Source organism: Homo sapiens, chromosome 1, assembly GCF_000001405.40.
Source record: "Homo sapiens chromosome 1, GRCh38.p14 Primary Assembly".
Taxonomy (NCBI): domain Eukaryota; kingdom Metazoa; phylum Chordata; class Mammalia; order Primates; family Hominidae; genus Homo; species Homo sapiens.
This window is the reverse complement of record NC_000001.11, coordinates 19437080-19452982: the sequence shown is the minus strand read 5'-3', so window position 1 is coordinate 19452982 and position 15903 is coordinate 19437080. Positions and strand designations below refer to the sequence as shown.

At 47.4% G+C, this 15903-nt stretch overlaps 1 protein-coding gene and 1 long non-coding RNA gene across 12 annotated transcripts in view, besides 2 other annotated features; one reads left to right on the top strand and one right to left on the bottom strand.

Annotated features, from left to right (window-relative positions):
* The window catches only part of CAPZB (capping actin protein of muscle Z-line subunit beta), a 146765-nt gene that overhangs the window by 32557 nt on the left and 98305 nt on the right, over window positions 1–15903 (top strand). For 2 of the 11 annotated variants that reach the window (XM_047431397.1, XM_006710938.5), the window contains exon 1: window positions 753–850. The exons of 7 other annotated variants lie outside the window; for them this stretch is intronic. In XM_047431397.1, the coding sequence (XP_047287353.1) occupies window positions 767–850 (84 nt within the window). In that variant the 5' untranslated portion in view covers window positions 753–766. Of the gene's footprint in view, window positions 1–752; window positions 851–3652; window positions 4150–13062; window positions 14913–15903 lie in introns of those variants that run through there. 2 more of the 11 variants (NM_001206541.3, XM_047431400.1) reach the window with 2 other exon arrangements.
* Window positions 4229–4318: an enhancer, noted in NCBI's record as "active region_302". NCBI's record gives its function as "activates an Ori minimal core promoter by ATAC-STARR-seq in GM12878 lymphoblastoid cells {active_cell/tissue: GM12878}" and the evidence as "EXISTENCE:reporter gene assay evidence [ECO:0000049][PMID:35858748]".
* Window positions 5073–5740: an enhancer, noted in NCBI's record as "H3K27ac-H3K4me1 hESC enhancer chr1:19773737-19774404 (GRCh37/hg19 assembly coordinates)". NCBI's record gives its function as "activates a minimal SCP1, AML or CMV promoter by ChIP-STARR-seq in primed H9 embryonic stem cells {active_cell/tissue: H9 hESC(primed)}" and the evidence as "EXISTENCE:reporter gene assay evidence [ECO:0000049][PMID:30033119]".
* LOC124903869 (uncharacterized) lies at window positions 6447–13085 on the bottom strand. Its single transcript, XR_007065525.1, has 3 exons — window positions 12970–13085; window positions 11643–11767; window positions 6447–6699 (listed from the first exon to the last, which is right to left on the bottom strand). It is a non-coding gene; the product is annotated as an uncharacterized LOC124903869 (long non-coding RNA).

The window sequence follows — 15903 nt, the reverse complement described above, 5'->3', positions numbered from 1 at the left end:
AAATAAAAAAAATTAGTTGGGCATGGTGACAGGTGCCTATAATCCCAGCCATTTGGGAGACTGAGGCAGGTGAATCGCTTGAACTCAGGAGGCAGAGGTTGCAGTGAGCCAAGAGCGCTCCACTGCATTCTAGCCTGGGCGACAGAGTGAGACTCCATCTCAAAAAAAGACAAAAAAAAAAAAAAAAAAGAAAGAAATTATTCTGACTGCCGAAGGTGGGGCTTGGAGGGGAGTGGTGAGGGTCCAGTGGCAGGAGGGCAGTGTGGTGGAGAGGAGAGCAGAGGAACAGATGGGGAGTTTCTGCTGGAGTTGAGGACTTGGGCGTTGACATGGATTCCAGTGAGATCACACTTGGGGTTTGTCCGAGCTTGAGTGGTCACCATCAGGCCCCACAGGATTTGGGCGTGCTGACTCTGCCTTCAGGGTGTGTACGTGGCAGTGGAAGGCCTGCCTTGGCACCAGGATAGCTCAGCCCACAACTCAGACCCTGCTCCTCTTTTTGGTGCTCAGGCTAATTTGAGAGTCATAGAATTGTTCCGGGAATGTTTATTCATTGGCTATGAGCCGACCACTGTGCCGGACTCGGGCAGTACAGAGGCGACCAAGAACAGCCTCTTCCTTTGCTCCCCTGGAGCCTATGTCCCAGTGGGGGCAATGATCAACAACTACGGGGTCATGGCATCTGGAGGGAGATGCTGCCCTAGAGCCGTTGCGGGGGAGCAGGCTTGAGCTGAGGGGGTGGCAGTCCAGGCAGAAGGAATAGTACATGCAGAAGCCTGGCAGGAAGGAGCTGAGTCGGGGGCAGGAGCAGGCTGGGACATGGGATGGAGAGGGATGGAGGGATGATCAGGTAAGAGGACTGCAGGGGGTGGGCAGTGAGGACTGGCCAGGTAAGTCTTGGAAAGCTTGCCCTGACCCAGATGTGCAGAGAGGATGGGTTGGGGCAGGTGTAGGGCAATCACTGTGGTCTCTTGGACAAAGTGGGGGAGGGTTGGTACTTGGGTGGAGAGAAATAATAAAATAATAATTACAATAATAAACAGTAAATTACAATAATAAACAGTAAAATTGCTTCATAGCATTATTATTGGCACATAATAAATGCTCAGTAAATGTTAGCTGTTATCTGCATGATAACTGCTAGGTTTCGGTGGGGCAAACCTAGTTCGGTTTCAGCTATGTTGAGGGTGAGGCACTTTAAAGTCATCAGAGAGGTGGAGGCCATAATAAATAGATTAGAGGACACATTATTGGCTGATATTTCCACACTGTCCATGTGGAAAGTGATCACCCCCTGGTCCTAGCCTTGTCTCTGAGTAGCCACATGTTTCTGGGGACCACTCCCCAGAGCCTCTGTCTCCCATCTGCAGGGTGGGGATGGTGGCGTCTCCCTCTCAGTTTTGTCTGAGGGTCAGATCACTAAGGTGGGACACTCGGTAGGCTCCTAGATGACACGTGCCTGTAGGGTGGTATTCATATTATCTTACCCATTACCGTCCTTTCCTCTGCATCCTTCTACCACATGCCGGTGGGGAGCAGGAATAAAGAGCACATCATATGTTGCCAATTTCGGGATTGTCCATTTCCACTCTGAAAGGCCTTTTGCATGCCATCTGTGTCAGTGATTTCCTTTTATCTGTTGTTTCCGTTCCCTGTTTCTGTTCTCTGCCTCTACCATTCCCCTTTTTGTCCCATGACTCCAGTCCCCAGACCCATGGTGGGTTCCCCTGGGGAACTTGTGTGGACCCTGGGCATTTCCAAGCAACTCAACTGCTGAGGTTGATGAGTTCTTGGACTAAGATATGGTTAAAGTCTTAATGCGAAATAGCAACAGCTGGTCCTGAGGAGAGGTGCAATAACAACCCCTTAACATGGCTGATTTGGCGCATATCAGTTTGCCCTGCAGTGTTGTGAGTAACAGTCAGTGATAATGTTTGCAATTCCATAATTCAGCAGTCTTTCCTTGGCACCAGATGAGAGCAGTCCTTGCATGCAGGAATGAGTCATGTAATAGCAGAGATCATTCTTACAAGTAATACACATCTCTTTCCATTATTCCAAAGACAAACATTGGTGGTGGTGTCACTGGGGTTTTTCATAACCTTTTGTGGGCTCCTGACTTGTCTTTTCCAAAACAAATGTGGTATATGTGTCTGCATTTTAGATACTTTTTCCCTCTTGCTGCTTTATCCTTCTTCAGAAGTATAAATTTTGCAATACAAGCCTAACATCAACTGACCCTGCACAAGTGTGAAAGGATAGTTTTTCAGGTTTTTGCTTCCCTGGGGCCTTGTGCCCAGCTTCTCTTTTTTGGGATTCACCTGGGTCTCTGGAACCAGGCTTCCAGCTCTGCCACTTATTACCTGTGTGATATTTGGTAAGCTCCTTAACCTCTCCCTACCTCAGTCCCCTCATCTATGAAGTAGGATTAATAACATAAGCTGTCTTACAGGCATGCTATGAAGATTGAGTTGACACATTTTACATGCCTAAAACAGTGCCTGACACACTCTTACAGGCTGAGTATCCCTAATGTGAAAATTTAAAACCCAGAATGCTCCAAAACCCAAAACTTTGTGAGCACTGACATGAGGCTCAAAGGAAATGTTCTTTGGGACATGGATTTTGGATTTTCTGATTTGGGATTCTCAACCAGTAAGTATAATGCAAGTATTTCAAAATTGGAAAAAATTCAAAATCCAAAACACTTCAGGTCCCCAGCATTTCAGATAAGGAAAACTAATACTCAGCCTGCATTATCACTATTTCCATGTATTGTATTACTACATTTTTTCTTCTTTTCTTTTCTTTTCTTTTTTTTTTTTTTTTTTTTTTTTTGGAGACAGGGTCTTGCTCTGTTGCCCAGGTTGGAGTGCAATGGTACAATTCCTGCTCACTGCAGCCCCCACCTCCTGGGCTCAAGCAGTCCTCCCACCTCAGCCTCCTGTGAGTAAGTGGGACTACGGGTGCGCAACATCATGCCTGGCTAATTTTTTAATTATTTGTAGAGACAGAGTCTCCTTATGTTGCCCAGGCTGATCTCAAACTCCTGGGCTCAAATCGATTCTCCTGACTCAGCCCCTCAAAGTGCTGGGATAACAGGCGTGAGCTACTGTGCCCAGCCTATATTTTTTTCTTTCTCTTTCTCTCGCTCTCTTTCTTTCTTTCTCTCTGTCTCTCTCTTTTTTTTTTTTTTTTTGAGACAGACTCTTGCTCTGTCAACCAGGCTAGAGTGCAGTGGCATGATCTTGGCTCACTGCAACCTCTGCCTCTTAGGTTCAAGGTTTCTCATGCCTCAGCCTCTCAAGTAGATGGGACTGTAGGCACGCACCACGCCCAGCTAATTTTTGTGTTTTTAGTAGAGACAGAGTTTTGCCGTGTCAGCCAGGCTGGTCTCGAACTCCTGATCTCAAGTGATCTGCCCGTCTCAGCTTCCCAAAGTGCCGAGATTACAGGTGTGGGCCACAGCCCCCAGCCAGTCCAGCCTACATTTTCTTTACGAACCTGGGTTTAGCTGTTTCGTACTGTTCCACTGAGTGGACATACCATGGTTCACCCTGAGACCTGCTGGTTCTTTCCTCACCTTAAGGATGCTAGTGGATGGCATAGAGACAAGGTCTGATTCACTGGCAAAATCTTCCCCGTTCCTCAGCTCCATGCCTGACCGTGACTCGCATCTCGCCAGGCCAGTGCATTTCCTCTTCTGGCTGTCATCGGAATTTTCAAGTGTCAAGACCCCACTTTGTTCCTGTTGTCCTGGTTCCGGCTTTGGGAAGCATGACCTTTCAGGCCTGCTCAGAGACACCGCAGTGCACTTTGTGCGTTATCAGCCTTACAGAGACTCTACGGTCAGGAGTTTTTGTGGCAATGGAACTGCTGGGGTTTCATCTGCAAATGAAAACCATCTGGCCAGCTGCTTGGGTCAGATGGAAACCAGATGGGAGAAGTCAGGAGCGGGCAGCGAGCAGCCTGGGGCAGCGTCCCTAGTCACGTCATGTTTCCACTTCCTCTTGCCCCCTCGCCTCCCCTGCCTGCAAAACGATTGTTATTAACCCATCACCTCCTCCAATGCCCAGGCAGTTCCAGGATACAGGGTTCTCTCGCCCAGGCCTTGGCCAGCCCAGAAGATGTGACCCAGAACCTAGAAAGGTGACACGCACTTTAGATCTGAGGGGGGAGGAGGAGCAACAGGTGGCCGTGGCCATCAGGGTTGAAATGTTAACTGCCAGGGTGAAGGGAGAAGTAAATAGCAAAGCTGATGGAATCCACAAGGCACAGTCTACCCCCAGGAAATGTGTTGGCTAGGTGACAACTTTTTGCCCAAGTAGGGAGGAAAGTTAGTCTGGTCACCAGGCAGCTTCTAATGTGAATCATCTGCAGTTGAATAAGAAAAAACCCCTACAGCATTTATCATGGGTAGGTAATGATGAAACACTGCATCTTTCTCTGGTCCACAGTGCCCCAACTGCAACCAGGTTTGTTTCTGCGGTTCAGAGAAGAAACAGCTTGTGAGTTTTTACCTCTGGGCTTTGTGGATTAAGGCGGTTGTCAGAGAGGGAAGTAATGTATTATTTTCCATCTCTAAACACTCCTCAACTTGGGGCAACAAAAGTAGAAAAATATTAATCAAATGCTCTCCCGAAAGGGTGGAAGGGAGGAGGAGAGGAGATGTCCCATTCACAGTGGTTGACAGCCAGGAGTGGAGCTCTGCCACTTGGAAAAGGGAAAGTCCCTCATGGGTGGGCAGTGCCTGGAGAGAAGCGGGTATTTGGGATGTGCGCAGCGGCGCACCACCCTTCTTGCTTGGAGATATTTTGGCTTCCCATCCTATAGACTGTGGCCCCTTGATGCGCAGTTGGCTGATAGGTTGACTGGCTACTACTTAATTTTCCTCCGAAAGAAAAGCCCACCTGTGCCAGGCCTGAGAGGTGTCCTGAGCTCCACCCACTCCTGGGGGAGTGTGTTTCACAGTTCCCTCGAGTAAGCCCTCCCTCCGCCCTCTTTTCTTCACACTGACGGAAGCTTATTAGAGTGCAGGGGAGTGAGGGTGTGATTAGAGAGCAACATTGAGCCTGTTCTAATTCTTAAACCTAAAATGAACTACGCTTTCACTACTGTTAGTTGCCGATTGCTTAGATAGTACCAGTGCATCAGAGAGGCCCAGCATTCTGGCAAGGCCACCGAGGCGGAGAGGAGCAGTGTGGCCTGCGAGCTGCTGGGGCTGGGTCGGATGGCGTCAGTGAGCCGTGCCCTCCTCCACCAGCTCCCAGGGTGCTGCTGTGCCACCCTGGCCCTGATCTTAGGCTGGCATCCCCCAGGTGTATCTGTGCAACTCACCATTTCGCTGGATTGCTGCATGCACACAACACTCTTAGGAAGGCACAAAAAATAGATCTTGTGGTTTCAGCCTTCTATGATGATGCTGAGTTCCCTCAAAGATTAGGTCTGGGCCAGGTGCAGTGGCTCTCGCCTATAATCCCAGCACTTTAGGAGGCCGAGGTGGGCAGATCACCCGAGGTCAGGAGTTTGAGACCAGCCTGGCCAACATGGTGAAACCCCATCTCTACTAAAAATCCAAAAAAAAAAAAAAAAAAAATTAGCTGGATGTGGTGGAGCGTGCCTGTAATCCCAGCTGCTCAGGAGGCTGAGACAGGAGAATTGCTTGAATAGAGTGAGACTCCATCTCAAAAAAAAAAAAAAAAAAAAAAAAGATTAGGTCTGGTGCTGCCCAATGTCTCTGTCTATGTCGAGTTTTAAGTTCGTCAATATTTTTCTTTCCCACTTTAAAACAAAGCAACAACAATTACAAAATCCTTCTCTGCAGAAGGATGATAGAAGAAAGAGAGAGCTTGCACCCAGTGAGGGCTGGGATGGGCACACCTCCTGGGGGCCACCATAATCTTGAGTGTGGCAGGTGTCATTTTTTGGGCAGTGGGGTGGTAATTTGAGAAAACATACTCAGTAATAGTATTTTTTGTTTGGAAAATAAAGTGAAGCCTAGTTTTGCACAGTACAAACCATAGAGGGTAAAATTGACAAAATCCAGTTGGCGTGATGGATCACGGATTTTTAGAGACTGAAATCATGTGATGGAAAAAACTTGGAGTTCACTAAATACATATGAAAGGAGGGGAAAAAATCAATCTTTCCACCTAAAGAAAAACACTGTTAACGTTTTTATATATCATTTCCAGGATTTGGGCATTTTTTTACTCACTTGATAGTAAATTTTTATATTCAGTTTCGCTAATTAAACATAAAACATTTTCCCACGTTTTTAACACTGTGCAATTGTAAGGGTTACACAGTAGATGATCACTTCCCTGTTGTTGGGGGAGATTATTTCCAGTTTTTTTTGCCGTGGAGCAGTGGGTAGAGCAGTGGGCATCTTTGTTCATCAGCTTGAGTGGTTTCATTAGGGTAGATTCCTAGGAGGTTATGAATATTTTAAACGCTTTTGACATTTACTTGCCCATTACTTTCTAAGAGAATTGCACCCATTTGTACCTTTTCAGGCTTCCAGATTGCCTTTCTAGACTCAGATCATTGTGCCTTTTATGTAGTTCATAATCTTCCACTCACCTTTACTTCTTACATGGCTCACTGTCATATTACTCACTTTAACTTTTGCCGATGGCTTTTCACCGTAATTGAGTACTTCCAGGGACTAACATGTTGTCAGGGGTGGTTTTCAAGTTTCTGTTGAAACAGAGAAAAATGGTCTCAGTTTTCCTGCACGCAGTGCATCCTGAACTTGGTAAAGTATTTGGACACCCCGGCCAGTGCTGTTTTCCTTTGGCCTGGCTTTAAAGCGAGCCTGGCAGTGCAGCCTGAGCCTCAGGAATGCATTTTCAGGGCTGGCGCTCTTCCTGCCTCCCGTGTAGACTGGAACTGACCTCGCTGACCCTGCCGCTCTCAGGTTATCTGTTGAGCCTCTCTGCCGAGGGCTGTTTGTCCAGGTGATGCCGAGAGGCCTCCAGCTTCCTCTGTTCCTGCTACAGGGTCTTACCATGTGCTCTTGAGGGCAGAGCATAAAGCCATGGACTGCCCTCCTGCACAGCCCAGCACTCCCTGCCTCTAGTGGTTGTTTTGTTCTTTTTTCAGCTGCTTTATTGAGATCTGATTTACATATAAGATTCCCCAGCTTTAAGTGTACAGTGCGGTTTTGTACATTTTTAGGAAATTTACAGAGTTGTGCATCCATAACCACAATCCAATTTTGGAACATTTCCATCACCCCCAGAACACCTCCTGCATCCATTTGCAGTTATTCTTCATGCCCACTCCTGCCCCAGCTCACCATTCACTTTCTGTCTGGCCATTTCATATGTATGGAATCATGCGGATTATTTTTTAGAGAAATTATTTGATTCTAAAAGTAATCCCTGTTGGAAAACATCTGGAAGAATGGGAACCAAGTTATTATTGGCAGTTACCTTTGGGGAGTCTCTAGGTGGTGAGATCACAGGGGGATGTTTCACTTTCTGTAATGCTTTGAATTTCCTACAGAGAGCCTATGTTCCATTTATAATCAGAAGGAAAGGGCAAAGCGGGGAAAGTGCATGTTTTACTCTTGGAAAATGCCAAAATGTATAAAGAGAATTAAAAAAAAAAAAGTCACTCAAAATTCCCCCTCATGGATGAAACAACTTTTGCTTTTTTGGTGGGTTTTTGTTCGAGTCTTCTGAGCACATTTTTAAAATATGGCTCTGAAATTTGCATCCTGCTTTTTCCTATTGGGTCACATAAGTCTTATTCCCACTTGCTTAAAACACCTTTGCAAACTTCCTGTTAGTGATCGTACAGTGCTTCATCTTACAGTTGTACCTTAATTTACTCATGTTGGACATGAAGGCTGTTTTCACTTTTTGCTATCATAAATAATGCTGAAATGGATATCTTTGTGTCAAAGATCTCGTGGGTCAAAAAAATTTTAAAAAGGCCAGGCGTGGTGGCTTACACCTATAAACCCAGCACTTTGGGAGGCCGAGGCGGGCAGATCACTGGAGATTAGGAGTTCAATACCAGCCTGGCCAACGTGGTGAGATCCCGTCTCTACTAAAAATACAAAAATTAGCTGGGTGTAGTGGCAGGCGCCTGTAGTCCCAGCTGCTTGGGAGGCTGAGGCAAGAGAATCGCTTGAACCTGGGAGGTGGAGGTTGCAGTGAGCCAGGATTGCGCCACTTCACTCCAGCCTGGGCAACAGAGTGAGATTCCATCTCAAAAATAAAAATAAAATACAAAAATTTGTTTTCTTCCCAATTTGGAGCTATCTTACAAAATTGCTTTTTAGATCACCTCTCTGAATTTCAGCTACACGTTGTAATTGCTTACTTTGGCTGGAGGATTGGTTCCTTTGTGTCAGTTTCAGGCATGAGGTGGGGAGTGGCAGAACAGCCAGGCCAGGGCCTGGGAAGATGGCAGGGTCCTTAGAGCCAGTGTGCAGTTATGTTTATAATCTAGATGGGGCTAGGCACGCTGTTTTCTGTAAATAGTCCCTTTGTGTTCGTCATTAGTTTTCAGTAAAGGTTTGTTTGTTTATATGAGTGAGAAAATGTTTTCATTGTTTTAAGAGGGTTGGACCCTAGAGTGTTTTAATAAGATACAAGCCCAAGTTGTCACAGGGTGGGGAGGTGGCAGCTGGGTGTCTGAGACCTCAGGGCTGGGGGGTGTTGCAGACTGATGGAGGGGCAAGCCCTGGGGCCATGTACACCTCAGGAGAGAGAGGGATTGAGGCCAGAGACACACCTGCCTCTTTCTATGGGAGACACTCCTGCTGAAGCTCTTCATTGATGAAAATCTGAATAGAATTTTTTTTTTTCCTTGAGACGGAGTCTGGCTCTGTTGCCCCGGCTGGAGTGCAGTGGCATTATCTCTGCTCCCTGCAACCTCTGCCTCCCAGGTTCAAGCAATTCTCCTGCCTCAGCCCCCTGAGTAGCTGGGATTACAGGCGTGCTCCGCCACGCCCGGCTAATTTTTGTATTTTTAGTAGAGACAGGGTTTCACCTGAATAGAGTTTTTTTAACCAGAGGGGACGTTTGGGGAACAGAGGGGCACTATGAACCCACCAGATATTTCATTCAGACTTTTGTGTGTGTGCACTCCCTGGGGAGAGAGCCCATAGCTTTCATCACAGAGTGCCCCAGAAGGCTTTGAGTCCCTCTTGGTGAGGAAGGCTGAGTCTGGGACATGCCTCACTCTGCGGCCACACACAGCATCTGCCAGGCGGCCTTGCCCAGGTGACCTGGCCTCTCTGTGCCTTGCTTTCCTTGTTTGTAAAGTACCTGACACAGTGCCTGGCACACCGGAGACACTGAGTGTCACATCAAACCTGTTGTCTTTTTTTCTTTTTAAAACAACAACAACAACAACAATAACTTAAGCATACCCTGAGAGAAAGCTGTTGTTTTAATTTTGGCTCAGGGAGGTTTCCAAGGCAGCTGTGGACCAGAAACTGACGTCAACAGTCTGAGGTCTCCCTAAAGCCAGGCCGTAAGTCCAGTGGTGCTGCCGTGGCTATATTAATATTATACAGTGTCTTATTTTAAAAAAAGGAATGGATTTTTATCTTTTATTTTTATTTTTTTGAGATAGGGTCTTTCTCTGTTGCCCAGGCTAGAGTACAGTGGTGTGATCATAGCTCACTGAAGCTTTGACCTCCCAGGCTCAGGTGATCCTTCTGCCTCAGCCTCCCGAGTAGCTGGGACTACAGGCACGCGCTACCATGCCTGGCTAATTTTTTTGTATTTTTTTTTTTTGTAGAGATGGGATCTCAGTATGTTGCCCAGGCTGGTCTCGGAAGTCCTGGGCTCAAGCCATCCTCCCAGCTTGGCCTCACAAAGTGCTGTGATTACAGGCGTGAACTACCACTCCTGGCCAGGAATGGATTTTTAAAATCCTGTTATAAAAGTAAGAAAGGTCATTGTAGAGAAGGATGTAATTATGATTTTAAGGTTTTTTTGTTGGGGGAAGGGTATGAAGTCAGTGATAGACATCTACGTGTTCACTCCTCTGGACGCTGATAGGATGGATGCAAGTAGCGAAGGCCTCCTTCAGCACCACTGGCGTAGAGGTTGTTTGCGCCGCACAGAGGAGGTGTATTTGTGTAACGTGGAGTAGGCAGCCAAGCTGAAGGCAGGAGCAACGGAACTTTCCTAAAAACAAACCGGAGTTGGAGATTCTAGGGAGCCTGCGGCATCTTTACAGGAAGCCAGGGAAGGAAAAGCTGTCCAAGCCAAAGGGTTTTTTGGTGATTTTTGAGGACCCTGTGTTTTTCAGTCCTTCAGAGCAGCTGGGCTGCTACAAAGCTGCATTTAGGGTTTCGTTTGGCCCCCTGCCCCGGGAGGGCTTTCCTGGACCGAGTGCGAGTGTGAGTGTGAGAAAACTGCCTAATGTCCAGTAAACATTCGACTCATACTGGCCTTAAAGCTTGCAAGAGCCTAGGAGTAGGTGGCAACCAGGCCTTACCGTAAGGGAACTTTAAGTTAGTGTTGCCTGATTTAAATTCAGAGAACTTTTTGTTACAGAGAATTTCAAGCACGTGATATAATGAGCCCCCAATTATCTGTCACTCAACTTCAGCAGTTATCCTCCGTGCCCAGCGTTGTTTCAGCTGCTCCTGCTCACTCCACGCCCCCCCACTCCCCAGCTCGAATCAGTTTGAATCAGATCCTCTGGTGTAATTGTCATGAGCAGTCTGGGTCTCTCCATTCTGAAAGCCAGATTCTAATAGTGTACCCGATGTAAACAACAGGACTAAGCACTGACTTTTGTTTTTTGAAAATTGTCAGTTAAAAAATTTGTGAGCCTTTTTTTTAGGATTACAGTAATAATGTAACAGGCTCATTGAAACTGGAAATCACAAACAGGGTTTAAAGATGACAGAGCCCTTCATCTTTCAGCATTTGGAGCTATCACTGATGCTTTTTAAGGGCTGTGGATACCTCTCCTGTGCTTTTTTTTTTTTTTTTTTTGGAGACAGAGTCTTGCTCTGTCGCCCAGGCTGGAGTGCAGTGGCACAATCTCAGCGCACTGCAACCTCCGCCTCCCCGGTTCAAGCAATTCTCCTGCTTCAGCCTCCCAAGTAGCTGGGATTACAAGGCATCCACCACCACGCCCAGCTAATTTTTGTACTTTTGGTAGAGATGGGGTTTTGCCATGTTTGCCAGGCTGGTCTCGAACTCCTGACCTTAGGTGATCTGCCCGCCTCGGCCTCCCAAAGTGCTGGGATTATAGGCATGAGCCACTGTGCCCGGCCTCTCCTGAGCTTTTGAGCCGCTTGGTGCTGCTGTTTTTTTTTTTTTTCTCTGTCTGCCTTCTACACTGGGGACCCCACCCAGCATCACTTGGGAAAGATGTGATGTGATGCTTCTTCAGTTCCGTAGTTCTGAGTATACTGGAGCCACCCTGGGTGTATGTTGTTATGCAAAAAAAGGGGTGAACATGCCCTGCTGTGTATACTAGGTAGGTACTCAGTAAATGAAGCTGAATGAGTGTGCTATACCTCACTCCCCTGAGGCCAACAAGGTTTTCTCTTTCTTCCTCTGAAACACTTTAAAACTCCTCTTTCCCTGTGCTGGGCTGGGCAACAAAGCCGAGTCCCAGATAAAATGCAGTGTTCCTGAGTACACCCTTATACTTACTTTATTTCCAAGAAATGTCCCCAAGCAAACGGACTCCTGTTGTGCTCAGGCCAGCAGTGTGCCACCTGTCCCCATCCTCTGACTGCAGGGAGAGTACAGACCCAAGGCTGTAGCTGGGTCACGAGCTGCATGGGCAGGAATGCAGGGTGAGCTAACTGGGATTCACGTGTTTTCAGCCTTGCTTACGTTTATATGATGTATATTTTCAAATTTCGTGGACTTTCTGCATAAGGTTTTAGCAGCTATAACTGTTTTGTTTTTTGTTTTTTGTTTTTTGTTTTGAGATGGAGTCTCACTCTGTCGCCCAGGCTGGAGTGCAGTGGCACGATCTCAGCTCACTGCAAGCTCCGCCTCCCGGGTTCACGCCATTCTCCTGCCTCAGTCTCCCGAGTAGCTGGGACCACAGGCACCCGCCACCACACCTGGCTAATTGTTTGTATTTTTAGTAGAGACGGGGTTTCACCATGTTAGCCAAGGTGGTCTCGATCTCCTGACTTTGTGATCTGCCCTCCTCGGCCTCCCAAAGTGCTGGGATTACAGGCGTGAGCCACCGCGCCCGGCCTAGCAGCTATAACTTTTTTAAAACATGGCTTTTACTGTAATAGTCTGTCTTCAGGATGAACTGGAGTAAGTCAGTAGCGTTGGGTGCACGGATGCCTATCCAGACACTAATTCTGAGTCACTCTGCCCAGGGGACCTCAGCTTGGATGTCTGCCCAAGTCCCTTCCCCCCACACTGGTCATAGGAGCACAAACCAAACACCTAGCAACATCACAGCACCTTGCTTTGAATCTAGTGGTTGCCATTCAGAACGGTTGGCCTTAGGCTGGTCTGGAGTTCACCTTTTCACGGTGAGGAAAAGTTTGGACTGAGCTGTGAGGGTTGGATTTCAGGGGAAATGCTTAATCTGCATAAGAGAGATTAAATAAAAATAAAAAATTGTTTTTACATCATCTCTTCCAGTATCTATTTCTCACATATTCATTACAAAGGTGTATTTTATGGGCCGGGTGCATGGCTCACACCTGTAATCCCAGCACTTTGGAAGGCTGAGACAGGTGGATCGCTTGAGCCCAGGAGTTTAAGACCAGCCCGGGTAACATGGTGAAACCCCGTCTCTCCAAAAAGTACAAAAATTAACCAGACATGGTGGTATGCAAGCAAGACCCTGCTTCAGAAAAACAAAAAGAAAAGAAAAACAAAGGTATTTTGTATTAAGGTATTTCCTGAATGGTTCTGCCTTGAAGTGCTTTCTAAGCAGGTTATTAGATTTGCAGTAATATATGTATTTTACGTCAGCTGTAGGGAAAACCGGTAGCACCCCCACCTGGCCACGCTGTGGTCCTGTCCCGCTCTCTTTGTGTCTGGGCAGATGATGTGGATGGCAGCCAGAGAGACTGCTGAGGTTCTGGATGTTAGGGCCTTGATTCCTGCAAAAAGAAAAAGCACAAACAAAACCAAAACAGAATACTTGCAGGGGTTGCTCTCACGGGAATAAGAGGTGGTTTCTGAAATGGTTGGCGCCTATTAAGCACCCAGTGATCCAGTGGCATGAACCCCAGGGGACAGCCGAGGGCGAGTGGTCTCGGAAGCGTGCCATGTGCAGGACACAGCAGAGCTGGGAGTGTCAGCCGGGAGGGAAGCTGCTTGGAGGGAGGCTGAGATGGCTCACTTCAGGTGTCTGAGGGATGCCATGTGGCAGAGAACTTGCACATCCTTGAGGTGGTTCTGGACAGAGGACTCTCTGTGCTGGAGGCTGCAGTGTAAGGCAGAGCTGCCAAACAGCCAGCACCGCGTGACACAGGCTGACTGGGGACATGGTGCATTTTCCCCATAGTCAAGATCAAGCAGGGGTCAAAACACCTAGTGCTTTAGGGATTTCATACGGGGGAAGTGGGACTCCAAGGCCACTGAAACTGAGATCCCGTGGTTCTTCAAGAACAAAAGACCTTTAATTCAAATACTTTACTATTAATAATTGATACCATATTTTCCCATATGAGTACAAATGTACATGGGTATGTTCTACAGGAAGGAGGTTATAGTTGTCTAAGATGGTTTTAAAACTTTATTCCTGTAAATATAGAACATTTACAAGAGTGGGACAGTCTTGTGCTTTATCTCACCTTTCTGAGATGGGAGTTTTGGGGATAACTTCCAAGAGACGTGTTGCTTCCTGTCCCTCAGATGGGCCAGCCCAAGCCGGGAGGCTTCTTGGCCACAGGCAGCTCTCACCCAGGATGTGCCACCATGCTTCATACCTCCTGAACGCTTGTAGCCATGGGTGGAGCTCTGTGATGTTTACAACATGTAAGAATGAATCCCAACTGATGAGGGAATCTGGTTTCCATCATTGATTGGAAACGGATTCCTATCCCTTTCCCTTGCTCTGGATTTAATCTTCCTGTGAGAATGATCTAAGCCACTTTCCTCTATCAGAGGACAGAAGGGAAACCAGGAGAAAGGGAGGGAGCGACCGTTCCTAATGATCTCTGAGCCACCCAGTGCCCGCCGGCCCCGGTGGGGAGTCACGCACAGCACCTGTGTCCTTGCCTTCGTTGCACCCCTCCCTGTGTTAGAGAGCTGAGATCCTGATGTGAGTACCTCATGTGGCCTCGTGTGTCCTCTGCTGAGTCTCACTGGGAAGCAGCACAAGAAATGGATGAGGCGGAGCAGACCTGGCCTTGGAATCTGGCCCCGCGCTTAAGCGAGGATGGTCTTCGTGGCCTTTCTGAGCTTGGCTTCCTCTGAGTGGCGGGAAGCCTCATTGGTCATTTTTCAGAGCCCCTTGGTCCACTCCTCGGCACTAAGACACTTGAGAAAGGCTCCTCTCTTCACTCAGCATGCTATGGGGTTACTTAAGTTTATTTCTTAATTGAATTTTCTCATTAAAACCTGCTTTCCCAGATCTGTTTGGCAGCAGGACAGTTTCGAGGTGGTAGAAGAGAGGCCCAGCTTCCTCTGTATTTCCTTTCCCTGACTTTCTGGAGGCATTATCGAAGTACGCTAAGCCGCACGTAGCTGAAGTGCACAACTGGATGGCTTGTGTTTGTTTCAGTGATAACACACAACATCTGCCTCCCTGCTCTCCCCAGCCTCCCGTCTCTGATCGCGCACTCCCTAGTTTTCCAGCCTCTTCTTAAGCAGCGATTCCAGCTGGCAGCGCCGTGACAAGTGTTTCCGTAAGCATTCCCACGATCCTCTAAGTGAGGAGCATGACCTCGGAACCATGTGCCCGGTCCCCTCCCCTGACGTAGGAGGTAGTGGGAGGTAAGAACAATACTTGGATGGATGGATTCCTCGTCTGGGGCACTACTGGAAAGCTGAGCATTCGTAGGCCATCCAAATACGATCGTTCTCCAGGGATTCAAGGGTTAGAAGGGGAAAGCGAATTGATTTCCACCTTCGTGTTAGAGGAAGGAGCCTAGGAAAACAACCCCCTCTGCTTTTCCGAGCTCTCCTCCCGAGCCTTCTATTAGTTTTGGTCACAGAACTTATGAGCTAAGTATTTAAAAATTGGCAAATGAAAGCAACAATGTTTTCTCTTTGTGTCATGAAGTTCTCCCACTGGTGAGTTTTGAGGCTCGCTTTGCTGGGGTCCCTGGTAAACAGCTTATTCGGTTTCCCTGGGCTGGCGGGAGCAAGGGGAGGTGTGTTCCTAGCTTTGGAATACTAGAAGGGTATCTTGCTGTGACAGTACCTGGAATGAGTCTCGTGCCCATGGTGTTCTGTTCCTGATTGCTTTTCCAGTTTCCCATCAAGTCTTTAAGACTGTGGAAGGTACACAGGCTTTCGAGGCTAGCGGACTTAGCATTCTGTATTGACAAGACCTGAAGACAGGAAGCAATTGATGACATTTATCTGCTTTATTGGAAGTTAACAGCAACCCACCCAAACACTTATTTGGGAAGGTGTGTCTCCTGGGACTCAGCGGTGCGTGGCCTTGCCTGTGATTTTCGTTTGTAGGTGAGGAATGTACTGACTGGATGTTGTTAGGGTTATGATATCCCAGTCTTTGAGCTGGTCAGCACCTTCTCAAATTTCTCCCTCTCTCACTCTCAGACACAGGCTGAGGACTTGTGACATTTCATATATTCATGGAAGGCCTTCCTAGCTTACGGTTCCTTATTGCAAGACTGTTTGCTTTTAATGAAAGCTCTCAGTCAGCAGATTTATTTGTCTGGATGAGAAACCTTTTTATCTGTCATGAAACAGGAAAACACCTTTCTGAGAAACTGAGCATTTGGCTTCCTAAAGAATC